We start from the raw sequence: 15,402 nt of genomic DNA, 5'->3' as shown, positions 1-15,402 counted from the left end.
CTTTTCGTGGCACTGAAAAGCCCCGTCCTCTCCTCCCAGTCCCGCCTCCTCCGAGCGTTCCCCCTACTGCCTGGAATGGTGCGGTCCCAGGTCGCGGGTCACGCGGCGGAGGGGGCGTGGCCTGCCCCCGGCCCAGCCGGCTCTTCTTTGCCTCTGCTGGAGTCCGGGGAGTGGCGTTGGCTGCTAGAGCGATGCCGGGCCGGAGTTGCGTCGCCTTAGTCCTCCTGGCTGCCGCCGTCAGCTGTGCCGTCGCGCAGCACGCGCCGCCGGTGAGTGAGCTTGAGCCGAGGCGCAGAGAGGGGCGTGCAGGTGCGGGCGCGGATGGAGGCGCAGGTGTGGCGGCGCGAGCGGGTACAAGGAACACCTCGTGCTGGGCAGCTTCTTTACGGGGGTCTGTGGTTTCGTGCACAGGGGTGTGGGTGCAGAGCGGGCTGGCGAACCCCGTCCTCGGTAGATTCGGTGCTACCTGCAACTAGAACTCCTTTAAAGGAAATCCTAGTCTCTGCAGGATACCTGGGTGTGATTCGCACATTCTTAGATTTGAGTGAGTGTACTTGAATAACCAGTTCCAGGCCCTTGCATTTTGAAGTGTTTAAATAAAATGTTCCGGTGGACCTGTGTGCATTACTCAATCAAGGACAGACTGCCTGATGGTCAGGTGCTTTCTCCCGAAGAAGTTCAGGAGTTCAGCCCAGGATACTGCAGGGCCGTGGGAAACGCTGAGTGGTCCCAAGCTTGGGCGGTGCGAGCAGCCCAGAGCAGGCCCCAAAGGGCCCCCTGTGGCCTTTTGCACCCAAGTCATGGGATCGCCTGTCCCGTGGCTCTTTCCCACGAGCAAGTCACAGGGCTACGGACTTCCTAACTGCAAGAGACAGTGAGGGACGAGCGTGACTCTTTCATTTTACAGAAGAGGAAGTAGACCTAGAGTGAGAAAATATTTAGCCAGAGGTTACACTGTTGTTTACTGAACATGCGTAACGTCCGAGCCTCTTGACGCCCAGTACTCTTTCATAATTCATTTCTTTATAAAGCAATCAGACTGCGTTTGTCTTTGCCAACAGAATCGGATAAGTAGGAACCTGGCGCATCTGGCCTGAGGCTAGATGGTGATGGTCTTGAATAGTTTAGGTAGGTTATTGAAAGTGGAAGCAAGATGTGCATTGTCTTCTTTTATACCTGTAAGGAGAAATTCTTTAAAATCATGGTGGGATATGATTTAGCCATTAAAATTGATATAATGTTCAGCAGATAAAAGTAGAATCCAGAATAGTATATACAGTTTTTCCTGTAATAGGAAAATACACAGAACATGTATGTGGACACGATTAAAGGCCTTAAAATAAAATTGCTCCATTGTGGGTAGGGAATTAATTTGCTTGACGGTAGTTGGTTTTATGGGAATTGGGAGAGACTTTGATACTTTGATACTGTCAGGGCCCTTCATTGAAAGACCACCAGGAACACACCATAAGCTGAACAAATTGGGTTTAGTGTTCTTTGAGGCAAAGGAGACCACACACCATGAGCGACGGACGGTAGGTTATAGAAAAAAACCCATTACAGAATTTGAACTTCGGTTGCATGATTTGGGGTAAGACTGAGGAACCGGGCTTTGCTGTAGATAGAATGCTGTTAGAAGGTGGGGCAATTCTGACTGAGTAAAGAAGGAACAGCCATTCTGTTTAGCACGAGAAGGGGATGTTTGGTGTTTTGTGCGTTGCAGGTGCCCTTGTTTTTGTCTGTTCTTAGAGAAAATCTTCAAGTGGCATTGCTTTGTCTTGGTGTGTCATGTCTCAGAATAATCTTATCCGACGTAGGTATCTGTGGGATTGTTGATGTCCAGGAGGAAAACAGAGCTTACCTGGCTGTGAGTGTCAGATCGGCTTGTAATAATATTGAGAGATAGCTGTGGGACTCAGAGCAGTTTCAGGTGTTGGAGGCTGTTTTTTCTTCTTTCTCAATAGCTTTATTTATTCTAGCAAAAGTATTTTGATAGCTATTTTCAGAAGAAGAATTAACAACCTCTCAATGGATATAATAGTTCTTATCTAGAACAGCGATTATCAAAGTCTAGTCTGGCCACTGGTGTCACTTTGGGAAGCTGTTTTCACAGGTTTTCAATGAAACTGGAAAAATAAGAATGCAAAACTAAAATTATTAATTTAGAATGTTAATCTTTACTCTGATTGTATGGACTTCAAGTTTTCATTGTTGCAAACGTGTTCTTAAAAATAACGGCAGAGGTAGATGTTATGTGCATGGAATTTGTTTTGTTTTAACATCTCCATTTGGCAGAATAAAAATTTGGACCCTCCTGTGCCAAGGCCTCATTAATTTTTTTTTACTGGCCTGGAAAATCCTGGGATCCATGCACTGAAGGACCTTTAGAACCTTACAGAAGTTTAGTGACTTCATTCTCTGAGAAGAATAAGCAGTTTTTCAACTGGAGTCATTATATGATAAACTATAGCCTCATGGTAACAAAAGATATTTCAAAAGTACTTTCAATAAATATGAATAATGAGAAGCAGCTTTAAATTGGAAACAAGTCATTTGATTTAGAACATCTGTAAGGATTTTTTGTGTGTTTGTTTTTGAGGCTTTTCACAATATTCCTATGTGAAGGTCCTCCTGAGTTATTCTTCATTATTGAATTTTTTAGGAGTCTATTAAGAGATGATGGTGAAGACAGTGGCACAAGAAATGTCTGGAGAGATAGCGCCAGATGACATCATCCAGGGTTCTGTAGACTCTTATTAAGGATTCAGAAATTTATCCTAAAAAATGGGAGGATCTGGAACCAGCCAATGGGAGGCCATTAGATGGTTTTAGACAAGATAACATTTTCACTTTAAAAAGATGAGTCTGGATTGGAGGTCAGCAAGGGTAGATATGAGGAGACTAGTCCAGAAAAGAAAACAGGGTGCGTTGAAGGATGGTGGCGCCAGGGGTGAGGGAGAGAAGTAGATGTTCTAGAAAAAAATCAGGAGGGCGAATGAGCTGAAGGAATCGTTGGGTGAGGATGAGGGAGTGAGGTGTCAGCGTGACCTGCACATTGCTGAAGTGCTTCGCTGGGCGAATGGTGGCATCCGTTCCAGGAAACATGGGGAGGGGAAAGCTTGGGGGCTAAAGAATGAGGATCGTTTTCATTTGGGGTGTATGTTAAATTTCAGGTGGCAGAGAGGCATCCAGCAGGCCACTCGGACTGGCACTCAGAAGAGAGACACTGAGAGTCACTGGCATAATGATATTATATTTGAAGCCCTTGGAGCAGATGAACTTACCTAGAAATAGGATAGAGAAAGAGAAGAAAAGAGAACTAGGCAAAGGCTAAGTAACTTGCACATGTATGTGTCAAGAAGAGGAGAAATTGCCAAAGTTAAAACAGGACAGGCCGGGCGCGGTGGCTCATGCCTGTAATCCCAGCACTTTGGGAGGCCAAGGTGGGCAGATCACGTGAGGTCAGGAGTTTGAGACTAGCCTGGCCAACATGGAGAAACCCTGTCTCTACTAAAAATACAAAAATTAGCTGGGCATAGTGGCTCACGCCTGTAGTCCCAGCTACTCAGGAGGCTGAGGCGGGAGAATTGCTTGAACCTGGGAGGGAGAGGTTGCAGTGAGCCAAGATCCTGCCATTGCACTCCAGCCTGGACAATGAGCGAAACTTCGTCACAGAAAACAAAAACAAAAAAATAGGAGAGTAAGTGGAACAGGAAGCTCAGGGAAGAGACTGGGACAGGTTAACTATGTTGAATATTATTGAGATGTCAGTGGTATTATGATGTTGGGCAACTGGAGGTCATTGGTCACCTCGACTGGAGCAGTGTTGGGGGCAGAAAACAGCTTGCGGTAGGCTAAGTGTGATTGGCAGGAAAGGAACTAGAGGGGAGAGATGGCTGCTCTGCGTAATAAATCTGACCCACTTCATAAGATGTGCGAAGATGAAACGTAATGGCTTAGTAATTAATTGCCAAAGTAAACTTGTAAACTCATTTTTATGCATCAGCTTCTCATACTAGTTAACAGCGTATGTCAACATTGTTGACATTAGCTATTGAATCAGCTTTAGCAATGATTTTCACGCAGTTGCCAGAAATCTCATAGACCCCATCTGGCCTAGGAATTTATTGCACTTCATCTGCTTTTCCCTACTTCTCCCAAAGAGGGAACACACAGGTGTAATCCATTCACTTATTCAACAAATACTGCTTGCCTACTATGTGCCAGACTCCTAAACGCTGGGAATGCGTCAGCCAATGAGATAGATGAGGTCCTTCCTCTCATGGAGGGTTTATTCACATTCCTTTGACCTAAATATCAGTAGCTTAATAGGATGCCATCCCATCAAAGCCCAGAAGACAAGTGAAAACATTTTCAAGCTCATGTGAATTCTTGTACACGTAGGAAACATGCCTCTTTGTATTCAGTGTTTCTGCTGAGTTGTACATAAGAGGACATTATAGGAAAAACTTGTCTGCAAAATAGTTGTTGATGAATTCAAGAATTGAATGAATGAAAAATTGTCTGGCTAGAGTTGTTTGGCTTCTGGTGGGTATGAAAACTGACATGAGGTATGTAATTTTAGATTATCCTTCATTGTCTCTTTCTGAGTATTTCAATAAGACAAGCACACAAGGGCTTTCTGGACTTTTAAAATTCACTATTAGAAGCATACATTATTTCATTGAGGGTCTCCTAATTCTTTCGGGCTCAAATATTTTAAGGAGCTGTACAAGTTATGCCATTTTTTAAGGGTATGGCGCTTTCATTGAGACCTTAATGTTCTCTTTATATTTTTGTGTTTTTTTTAGAATGTTGTGTTCAGTAGCTCTGTAATTAATTTCTCTTAATGAATGGGGAGGACATTCAAAGAGGCTTAAGTTTCTATCAAATAACCAGAAAAATTAGAGAATTTTCTGACCCAAACAGTCTTTTAAAAGCACTTTCCAGAGAGTTTTTTGTTTTTTTTTTTTTTCTGAGATGGAGTCTTGCTCTGTCTCCCAGGCTGGAGTGCAGTCACACTATCTCGTCTCACTGCAACTTCCACCTCCCGGCTTCAGGCAATTCTCCTACCTCAGCCTTCCGAGTACCTAGGATTACAGGCACATGCCACCCAGCTAATTTTTGCATTGTTAGTAGTAACGGGGATTTCGCCATGTTGGCCAGGCTGGTCTTGAAGTCCTGACCTCAGGTGATCCACCCACCTCAGCCTCCCAAGGTGCTGGAATTACAGGCATGAGCCACCATGCCTGGCCCAGAGAGTTTCAAATGCATTGAAATATCAGATTTTTACCACTTATCTTCACTCTTAGGAGACCACTGAGGGGCAGGGAGAAAGGTAGGGAAGGGCAGGGAGAGAGAGAGAAAGAGAGGTACTGTGGGGAGAGGGTTAGAGAGAATTGATTCTAAGTTGGATTTTGTTTCCTGTGATAGGGTGTACATAGTATACCATCCAGACCACATAATCTCTCTTCTTATCATCTGTTTCTAATCTTTACCTATCATCTATTTAAGTTTTTACCTGCCTTAATAGAGTTGTCTGTTATTAAACTGTTTATAAACTTGGGGATAGTAAGGAACTTTAAATAACATTAAGTAAGTTCATTATAATTCTGTTTTAGGGCTACTCGTGGGTTTTGAAGCTGTGTCTCCCTGTAGAATTCTTTTTTGAGGGGGAGGAAGTAGCTCTTTTTTCCACCCTACCCCTAAAACTAACCTTTTTGCATAAACGACTTAGGCGTTCATGCCATGTGAGCCCCTGAAATACTGTAGTCTCATAGCTGCCAACTTTCTTATTTTCTGTCACACTTATCCTATTTCCTTGCAGCCAGGTTCTATGCCAATTTCACGTTTGTTTATTGCTACCAAGAGTCGTTATCAACCTCAGACTCACTCCACATGTATTGTTGCTAGCTTGCTCTTTAGTTCTTACCTCTGGGGCAGGTCACATTCTCTCCTAATACTAGACAGAGCATTTTCAACTTTGCTCACAGTTGTCTAGTAAGAAATGTGCCTGTAATTTGATGTTTATTTTGGCTTTGGAACCCAGGGCGTGCAAATGTCATTATTAGGAAGGGATAGGAGTCATTACGTTTCACTTAATTTGCCGAGTTGATTCTAGTGATCACCAGAAGCCCTGAACTACGCGCAGATTATTCTGTTAGGAATTAAATTGAGGCATTGGTTTTATTATCTCTGTGGGAAGCTGTTTGATAGAACAGGGAAAGCCATTGACTCTGATTCTGTCACCAGCTGTGTAACTTTCTACAAGTCACTAATGGAGCAGGGTCTTAAGTCCACAACATGATCATAAAATTAAGCACTTGGGTTAAGTACCCATCACAGTATTCCCAACTCATAGGAAAACAATGGTCAGATAAACAAGAAAATGTAAAGCGGAGTATCTCCTCACAGCAGAACTTATTTACAAATTTTACAAAGTAAAATTAAGTTGCAACCCCTATAAGTCTCTAAGTAGCTCATTTATTAGCAAAATAAGGAAAGCCATTTACCAATGGTGGATTACCTAAATTGTATTCGATTGTAGTAGCAGAAGTATTGTGTCCAGGGAAAATGAAATTATTTTACATGTCATTGAGAACCCTTGTCCTGGACTTTGGGAAGAACATCAATATCAATTAAAGAACAAAGCATGTGATTTTTGAGTGATTTTTCTTGACTGTCAACATACCGATAACTGATCAGTTGTTGATATTTATTAGATGATCATTGCCAAGTTTGAAGTGACTGAAGAGTTAGCCTCTGAATCATCTGTATAAAACAACTACAGGCGAGGATGTTTTCGAAGAAGCTGAGAAAATAATGATTGAGTATAACCTGGAATGGAATCTGCTAAGATCTATAAAAATTGACAGTAGTAAAAATATTTGTGAGTAGAAAAAGGCGGAGTTGAGCAAATTCACAAAACTTGTGAACATGCGAGGTGTTTAAAGCTCATGGTTATTTATTATAGTATTCCTTTTCAGATATTTTGTGGAAAATATTGGAATCTCACATGTGTTATTGAACCGGCAATATAAACCATGAGCTTCATTTGCTCTTGTGGATATAACCGTCATCATTTCTGTGAATTATCAGAAATAGAGGCCGGATATCCTGATGTCTCTTGTGACAGAGCCATTAGATAGCTTGCTAGCTGTAAAGTTTTGCAGTCTTTGAGTTCACAGTTGAGACTGAAGTTTTTCTAAACGAGCTGCCCCCAGCCACTATTACTGAACACGAATGGCTTTGGAAATTAGCTTTTGCTACAGACTTGATATTGTTTCTTAATGAATTCAACGCAAAATTACCAGACAAAGCCAGACATATGTGAGAAACTTACAGTGTGGTAAGGCAAATTTGACAGCTAATGTTTGAATCACAGGTAATGTCAACCTACTTTATATATTCCCCATGTTATCAAAAGTTAAAACAAGGTGCTAGACCTCCATTCTTACACAGCTGTCCAGCAGATACATTTTCTGTGCTCAAGCTACAGTTCCAGGAGTTTTCTGAGCTCAAGCTACAGTTCCAGGAGTTTTCTGAGCTCAAGCTACAGTTCCAAGAGTTTTCTGAGCTCAAGCTACAGTTCCAAGAGTTTTCTTACCTACTCTACTTTATCTTATTTTGGATTTGTACTTTTTTAAAACAATTATTTTACTTTCACAGAACTGGTTCTCCAGAGGAAAGGAGATAAAGACACTTGATATGTTGAATGAGTAACAAAAGAATCATAAATCTGTGTGGACTTTTTTTGATAAGTTTAGGAGAAGGTTCCATTTTGCCACTAAGCTTGGACAACTTCCCCTAAAAGAGTCTGTTCATTCCTTGTCTCAGGCAGTGACGTCAGTGTTGGGGGCCGTCCTCACCTCAAGGAGCGCAGAGTCTGGTATTGACAAGGAACGCAAACAGATGATTATAAAGCAGTGTCATAAACATGTTGATGAGAGTGTGCACAAATGCTGTGGGAGGAAAGGAGGGTATGAATATTTTCATATGGAAGATAGATGAAGACTTCACAAGAAAGAAAATGCTTGAACTGAATCTTGGAAGTTAGAACCAGCAGTTCACCAGGTGGGGAAAAGGCATTCTAGCAAGAGGGAATAGCACAGACACAGGCATGGAAGGGTGAGAGATGATAGGAAGTGCCTGCGTATGGCTATAAATACTAAGGGGAGTGTCAGGAGATGAGGCTGGGATGGTAAGTTACCATGGAAAGATGATGAAGGGCCCTGTGCTGTGTGCCCTGAAAATCTGGTTTGGGAGGCAAATCCCAGGACAGGTTGCAACACACATGGCTGGTAAGTGCAGATAATACATCCTATCAGGTCATTTACTTTTAGTGCTAAGTCAGCCTCTCTAACATAAATATTTTCCATCTACTTTGTTACATTTGTTCGTTACTCAATATATTTGAAATATTAGAGCCAAATTATAACACCTAGCACTTTTACAAATTGAATTGAAACTGAAAATCCACTTAATGGTTTAGGATTTTAGAAGTTTTCTTGGAAAGAAAAGACTTATTTTAAGAGGCATTGAAACGTATAAAAGAGCAATATCAGACTTGATGTTGTCTTCACAGATTAACTACTTTTGAAATTGCTTATTCCGTTGGCAAGCATTTGTTATTTTCTGAAACTTAATTTTCTTTGCTTTTCAGTGGACAGAGGACTGCAGAAAATCAACCTATCCTCCTTCAGGACCAACGTGAGTAAACATCAGATGATCAAAACTCCCTTTGACCTTTGTGAAGTTTTTTCTGTATGTAATAATTGCTCATAAACGAACGATAGTGAATAAAATCTTAAGTCATGTTTCCCATTCCGAGACAGAGGTTTGTTTCTCAGATTTGTTTATTATGCATTTGGCTGAGATCTTGGACAAATATGAAAATATCTTCCGATTCAAATGCCCGTCGCTAGACTATCAAAATCATCGGAAAGAAAAGGATTTTCAGCCAGACGCGGTGGCTCACGCCTGTAATCCCAGCACTTTGGGAGGCCGAGGCGGGTAAATCATAAGGTCAGGAGATCGAGACCATGCTGGCTAACAGTGAAACCCCGTCTCTACTAAAAATACAAAAAATTAGCCAGGCGTGGTGGCGGGCGCCTGTAGTCCCAGCTACTCTGGAGGCTGAGGCAGGAGAATGGCGTGAACCCGGGAGGCGGAGCTTGCAGTGAGCCGAGATCGCACCACTGCACTCCAGTCTGGGCGACAGAGTGAGACTCTGTCTCAAAAAAAAAAAGGAAAGGATTTTCATTCTCCACTCAATTCTCCTGTCTACCATGAAGGGTTTTTCTCATCTTTGACAAATGTAAGGGCTGTATTTGAAATGACCTGTGATTCTCTATGGTGCCTGGATATAAACCACCAAATTATATTGTAACAAAAAAGCATAGGCCCTCATATGTGAAACGTTCTCAAAATAAACCTTGGCACAACAAAGCTGTCGAGGACAAAACAGGATTGGAACACCTAAGAGGAGGACCAATGTCATGATTCAGTGTGTTTAACATTAATATTTTTAGTCTAGATTTTGGTCTTTCCAAATCCTCAGTGTTTAAATGGGCCTGTGAGAAAGCCATAATAACAGCTCACAGACCCCTCAGAGTGTACAGAACAGAGAAAAGAAGGAACAGGTATAGGGGGTGGTGATCTTTTTCTCCTACACTGCCCTTTCGCTGAAAGTAGCCTGCTGTTTGTAGGGGGAAACAGTACAACTCTATCTAGTGATATCAAGATGACATTTTCAGTTCGTGCAACATTCCAAATTACTTACGTTGTACTGTTGTTGTCTAAACGATGTATTTTAAATAGCCTCTGTCCCAGATAGCGTGAAACTGTAATAAACTAAGTTCTTTTGACTTACTCGCCTTTATGTAGAAAGAGGCCAGTATTTGGCAGGAAGCAATTTAGAGGTAACCAGTTTGGATGTTGTTTGGGGCCAGTGTTCATTCCAGCTCTTTCTTCAATGGCCTGCTGTCTGAAAGTCTTCCTTTCTGTCATCACTGGCATCATTCTGGCCTTCAGTGACATGTCTGCCTTACTGATTGATTATGTCTCTCTGTTGGTCTCACTGCCCCAATTCATTGAACATTTAATGAGGTGCCTTCCATGTTTGAGGCCGTTTCTACTCCCTTTTAGGTGCACTTTACATGTGTCTATAAATTGAATGCCCTGCAAACCATAAACCTTTCCTGATTAGGCATTTTACTGACTCTTATTGCCATGTGCATGTGAGTGTGTGTCTACCTATGTGCATACATACCTACATGTATACATACATATGTACTCCAAAACACATACACGTGTATACATGGACATAACTTGTATGTTTCTTTCCTTGCCTTCATTTTTTCGCTAGCTTTCTTTTTATCTCACTAGCCTGCTTTCCTACACAAAAAGCCTCGGCTTTGCTCTTATCCTTCTCTTCTCTCAACTCTATCAATGGATCTTGAGATTTAGGAGATAACTGTGGTATTTATGTACCTTTGAATGACAAACAGACGTTCTGTTCCTTTGAGATCATCCTTTTCAATTAAGTGCGTAGATTTGGGCAGCATCCATGGGCAGATATGAGGGAAGAAAAAGATAACCTGTTTGGCCAGCATGACTAGTCAAATCAATGCTGAAGATAAAGGAACTGATAGCCAGATCACCCCTGAGTCCATCTGAGTCCCATTCAGCATTTCTTTCCCACTGCTCACGGGATGCCTAGCACTTGCTCTCTTATTTGTATATGTGTGTGTTGTGTCACTTGGACTAGTTTCCATGCCACCTAGGTAGCCATGTGGGTTCAGGTGATGTTGCTGATATTATGAATGGCATGGACATTGCAAACACTAAGTCTCAAAAATGATGAAATGATATTTCTTGTTTGCAGTGAAGTAGGAAAATAAATTGTGATGACTACTGTTGATTGAATACCAATGCTGCTAAGTGTTTTTTTTATTTTTGCATTTTTCATATAGTGTCTTCCCTGCTGTTATAAGGTGGATACTCTTTTATTCTTATGGGGAAATGGAGGCGCACAAGTTAAATACTGAAATGTTTTAGAAAACTGTTTAACGAGAGGTAAAATGTGCAATTATGGCTAAGCTTTAGTCATTAAAATAATTTGGTTTATTAGATTAACCAGTTCTCTCAAATTCTAATTAGTGCAGGTTTGATGGTAGAGAGGTTTGTGGGGTCTCATCATCCCCACTTCATTGTAATCCCTTCATTGTCCGTTGTGTTGTGTTCATCCCCTCTCATCGCGTCTCTGAGATCCATGAACCTACCCAGGACTCTAGGCTGAAAAAGAATCAGGAATTTATGGCGGGTATAGAGGCATGATTTGGGATTGGTTGGATGTTATGAGGTGAGGAGCAGCTGATTGGAGTTCATAGGGATGAGATGCATATCTCCAACAGGCCACTGAGTTATCTTTGCTACTAGACATAGAAATCTAAATGCACAGTTGAAGGGAGAGGGGAGACTAGTAATACCTGCCCATAATATGGGGAACAATAATTACTTACTGAATTGTGGGACAAAATTTTACATGTGAAATTATGGTCTGTCAGAAATGGAATTAATTTGTTGTGATGAAAAGTTTTTTTCTAGAATATAAGTATTGTAGCATTTCATGTAGATATCAGCTCCTAAGAAAATGGGGAACTTGAAAATGCTTTGAGAAGAACAAAATTCGTTCACTATGATTTTGTTTAAATGTACATTTCCAAAATCGAATATACTTTTCTGTCTAAATCACAACCTGAATGTCTGCTAGTTAACAGTTTCATAAAACCTCATACATATACCAGGGCCCCAAGTTACACAGCATTATTTAGAGAACCAAGTAATTATTTATGATAGTGGAAATATAAATAGAACCACAGTTCATGACTTAGGTAATAACCCATCCCCAGCTATGGACATAAGTCTAGATAACATTTCTATTTAGGAGACTGGTATCATTGTGGCACATACCAGAGTCACCCTGCCAGTCTCAGGAGCAGATCAGTGGAACAGATGATGGTTATTTTTAGGCATAGGTTTATACTGATAAACCACTAACTGGCACACCCTTAAAAGCTATTTCAGTTTAGTAACCAGGGCCAGAAAATAATGTTCCTATAGCAACAAAAATAGTTGTAGAATTCATCCACCAGAAATATGGCCCAGCTTCACTGATAAGTGACTGGATGTTGCTATATCCTCAGAAATTGCTGCACGTAAGTTAAAGAGTAGGAAGTTGGAGGATATGACAGAATACAGCTTGGGCTTGGACTTTGTCCAGGAAAATGAGAAGAGAAGAGGTATATAGTAGGGAAGATTAGGATGGCTGACAGAATCATGAAGGTTCTTGAAGCTGATCGTGGGAAGATAATACATGTTGCCATCTGGGGCTTAAAAGGTGATCTTCCTGAAGGCAACACTGGAGACATTGGTTTGGCAATAGTGTTACACTCTCTGAGAGAGAATTCTGAAACTGGAAACCAATTGGAGAATTGTCTAGAGCCCAGACTAAATCTTTGCAGATATTTAGGAGAAAAAAAAAATGGCAGGTATTTCCCGTCAGTGATAATCAGGTTAGAGCTCTTAAGCCATAGTTGATTTTTTCATAGAAAACCAATTCACATGAACCTTCCCTACTAGATCATTCTATTCCAGGATTTCTGTGACCGCTTATGATTGTGTTCTCAACCTAGAAGCACTAGGTAGAGAATGAACTTTCTTTCCAAATTTTGGTTTGGGTAACCAAATTCTACACTGCTGTTAAGACTTTGCCTCTCATATATTCTTATAGATGTATCTAACTGACCCTCACAAAAAACCCTTTCATCATTTCAAGATGATACACCTCTCATTACAGGTACAGAGGTGCAGTTCCATGGTACACCATAAATCTTGACTTACCACCCTACAAAAGATGGCATGAATTGATGCTTGACAAGGCACCAGTGGTATGCTATGATGCTTAAATCTTTTATTTCTTTATTTTTATTTTTTATTTTATTTCTTTATTTTTATTTATTGATTGATTTTTTTTTTGTTTTGAGACAGAGTCTCACTCTGTCACCCAGGCTGGAATGCAGTGGCACGATCTCAGCTCGCCGCAACCTCCGCCTCCTGGGTTCTAGCAATTTCCCTGCCTCAGCTTCCCGAGTAGCTGGAATTACAGGCACCTGCCACCATGCCGGCTAATTTTTGTATTTTTAGTAGAGACAAGATTTTGCCATGTTGTCCAAGCTGATCTCAAACTCCTGACCTCGAGTGATCCTCCCACCTCAGCCTCCCAAAGTGCTGGGATTATAGGCATGAGCCGCCATGCCCGGCCATATTTCTTATTTTATTTATTTATTTTCCCCCCAAGGACCGTGGAGATTCTATATTAAATCTTTTATTTCTAACTTTATTAAATATTATTGTATTTTTAAAAGAACACTTCATGAAATTACCCACAGAATAGTTTAAAATTGTGCTTTTGATACCTTTCTGCCCTATACGTTAAGTGACAGCAGAGGAAAAGAGGTCATTCCTCTGTAGCCTTTGTTCTTTTTTGTAAACTTTACCTTTGTTTCTTTCCCTTTATGTCATCTCCCTTCATGTAAATAATTAAGAATCAAATTCACTTTAAAGATAAAATTAGACTTACTGTATTAATGTATTAATCGAGGCCAGGCACGGTGGCTCATGCCTGTAATCAATCCCAGTACTTTGGGAGGCTGAGGCAGGCGGATCACCTGAGATCAGAAGTTCAAGACCAGCCTGGCCAACATGGTGAAACCCTGTCTCTATTAAAAATACAAAAATTAGGCCAGGCGCGGTGGCTCATGCCTGTAATCCCAGCACTTTGGGAGGCCGAGGCGGGTGGATCACGAGGTCAGGAGTTCGAGACCAGCCTGGCCAAGATGGTGAAACCCCGTCTCTACTAAAAATACAAAAATTAGCCAGGCATGGTGGTGCATGCCTGTAGTCCCAGCTACTTGGGAGGCTGAGGCAAGAGAATCGCTTGAACCCGGGAGGCAGAGGTTGCGGTGAGCAGAGATCGTGCCATTGCACTCCGGCCTGGGCGACAAGAGCAAAACTCCGTCTTAAAAAAAAAAATACAAAAATTAGCTGGGAATGGTGATGCACACTTGTAATCTCAGCTACTTGGGAGGCTGAGGCAGGAGAATCGCTTGAACCTGGGAGGCAGAGATTGCAGTGAGCCGAGATGGTGCTACTGCACTCCAGCCTGGGTGACAGAGCGAGATGCTGTTTTAAAAAATATATATATAAATTGTCAAATAGCACTCTCTTTTAGCTACATATGGGTAAGCCAAAAGGTAATCTTGACAGCATTTCATTATGTCTTTTAGTAAGCATTTTATTTATTTTTCAGCTAAAGGTTATAGTGAATTCTCTGAAGAATATGATAAATACATTCGTGCCAAGTGGAAAAATTATGCAGGTGGTGGATGAAAAATTGGTAAGAGATATTATTTCTCACAATAAATGTTAAGCACATAGAAAATGCGCTGTTATTTATTTAAAGGCATAATTCAGCAACCTCTTCGCAGGGACTTGGGCAAATCTGCATGAATCTAGCTCACTGTCAGAACTTCAGAGGGACTTAAATTTGGGGAATTGGTAATATTAGGGTTACAGCATAGCAAATTATGGTTTCGTAAAAGGGGATGGGACTACATTACGACATTGGGCAAATAACCATATTTCATCTGGGAGTGTGGTATTTCCTTCCCTTTATGTAGTGAGTTCACTATTGAAGACTTGGTTTTTTTTCTTAAGTGTCTCAGGGACATCCAGAGATTTTTTTTTTGTAGATATGAGCAAATGACATACTCAGCCTGGCCCCTTATTCTGTAGAGTTCCTCAGTAGCTCTGACCCTGAAACTCATTTGGGCTGAGTGTTTCTGTGCAATCACCAAACCATTTCATTTTCATCCTCATCATGCAGGAAGACTCCATTTCTCAGCCCCGTTTTTGTTGACGCAGAACCAATGAAACACCTAGGGCCTGGCCCCTAGAACTGTTAAAGGGATCCTCATTGCTCTTGATGGCAGATTTTGGGCATTAATGACATTTGGGGTTGGGCAGCTTTTTTTTTTTTTTTTTTTTTGAGACCTCATCTCACTCTGTAGCCCAGGCTGGAGTGCACTGGCATGATCATAGCTCACAGCTGCCTTGATCTCCCAGGCTCAAGGGATCCTTCTGCCTCAGCCTCCTGAGTAGCTGGGACTACAGTCACGTGCCGCCACACCCAGCTACTTTTCTGAATTTTTAGTAGAGACGGAGGCTTGCTGTGTCACCCAGGCTGGTCTCCCAACTCCTGGGCTCAGGCGATCTTCCCGCCTCAACCTCCCAAAGTGTTCTCCCAAAGTGTTGGGATCGTAGGTGTGAACCGCCATGCCC

General features: G+C 41.6%; 1 protein-coding gene across 5 annotated transcripts in view, besides 2 other annotated features; it reads left to right on the top strand.

The window, feature by feature from the left end:
- Nucleotides 1-15,402, top strand: part of ASAH1 (N-acylsphingosine amidohydrolase 1) — a 28,970-nt gene that overhangs the window by 712 nt on the left and 12,856 nt on the right. The window contains exons 1-4 of one of the 5 annotated variants that reach the window (NR_199644.1): nt 143-333; nt 8,663-8,709; nt 12,860-12,950; nt 14,372-14,458. Coding sequence is in view for 4 of the 5 variants with exons in the window: in NM_177924.5 (NP_808592.2) it covers nt 192-269; nt 8,663-8,709; nt 12,860-12,950; nt 14,372-14,458 (303 nt within the window). In the remaining variant the exon portion in view is untranslated. Of the gene's footprint in view, nt 1-142; nt 334-1,053; nt 1,129-8,662; nt 8,710-10,973; nt 10,995-12,859; nt 12,951-14,371; nt 14,459-15,402 lie in introns of those variants that run through there. The other 4 variants (NM_177924.5, NM_001363743.2, NM_004315.6 and 1 more) reach the window with 4 other exon arrangements.
- Nucleotides 27-226: a silencer, noted in NCBI's record as "silent region_18966". NCBI's record gives its function as "represses an Ori minimal core promoter by ATAC-STARR-seq in GM12878 lymphoblastoid cells {active_cell/tissue: GM12878}" and the evidence as "EXISTENCE:reporter gene assay evidence [ECO:0000049][PMID:35858748]".
- Nucleotides 577-686: an enhancer, noted in NCBI's record as "active region_27051". NCBI's record gives its function as "activates an Ori minimal core promoter by ATAC-STARR-seq in GM12878 lymphoblastoid cells {active_cell/tissue: GM12878}" and the evidence as "EXISTENCE:reporter gene assay evidence [ECO:0000049][PMID:35858748]".

The sequence above is a fragment of the Homo sapiens genome, chromosome 8 (assembly GCF_000001405.40).
Source record: "Homo sapiens chromosome 8, GRCh38.p14 Primary Assembly".
In the NCBI taxonomy this organism is placed as follows: domain Eukaryota; kingdom Metazoa; phylum Chordata; class Mammalia; order Primates; family Hominidae; genus Homo; species Homo sapiens.
This window is presented reverse-complemented; position numbering and strand designations above follow the sequence as displayed.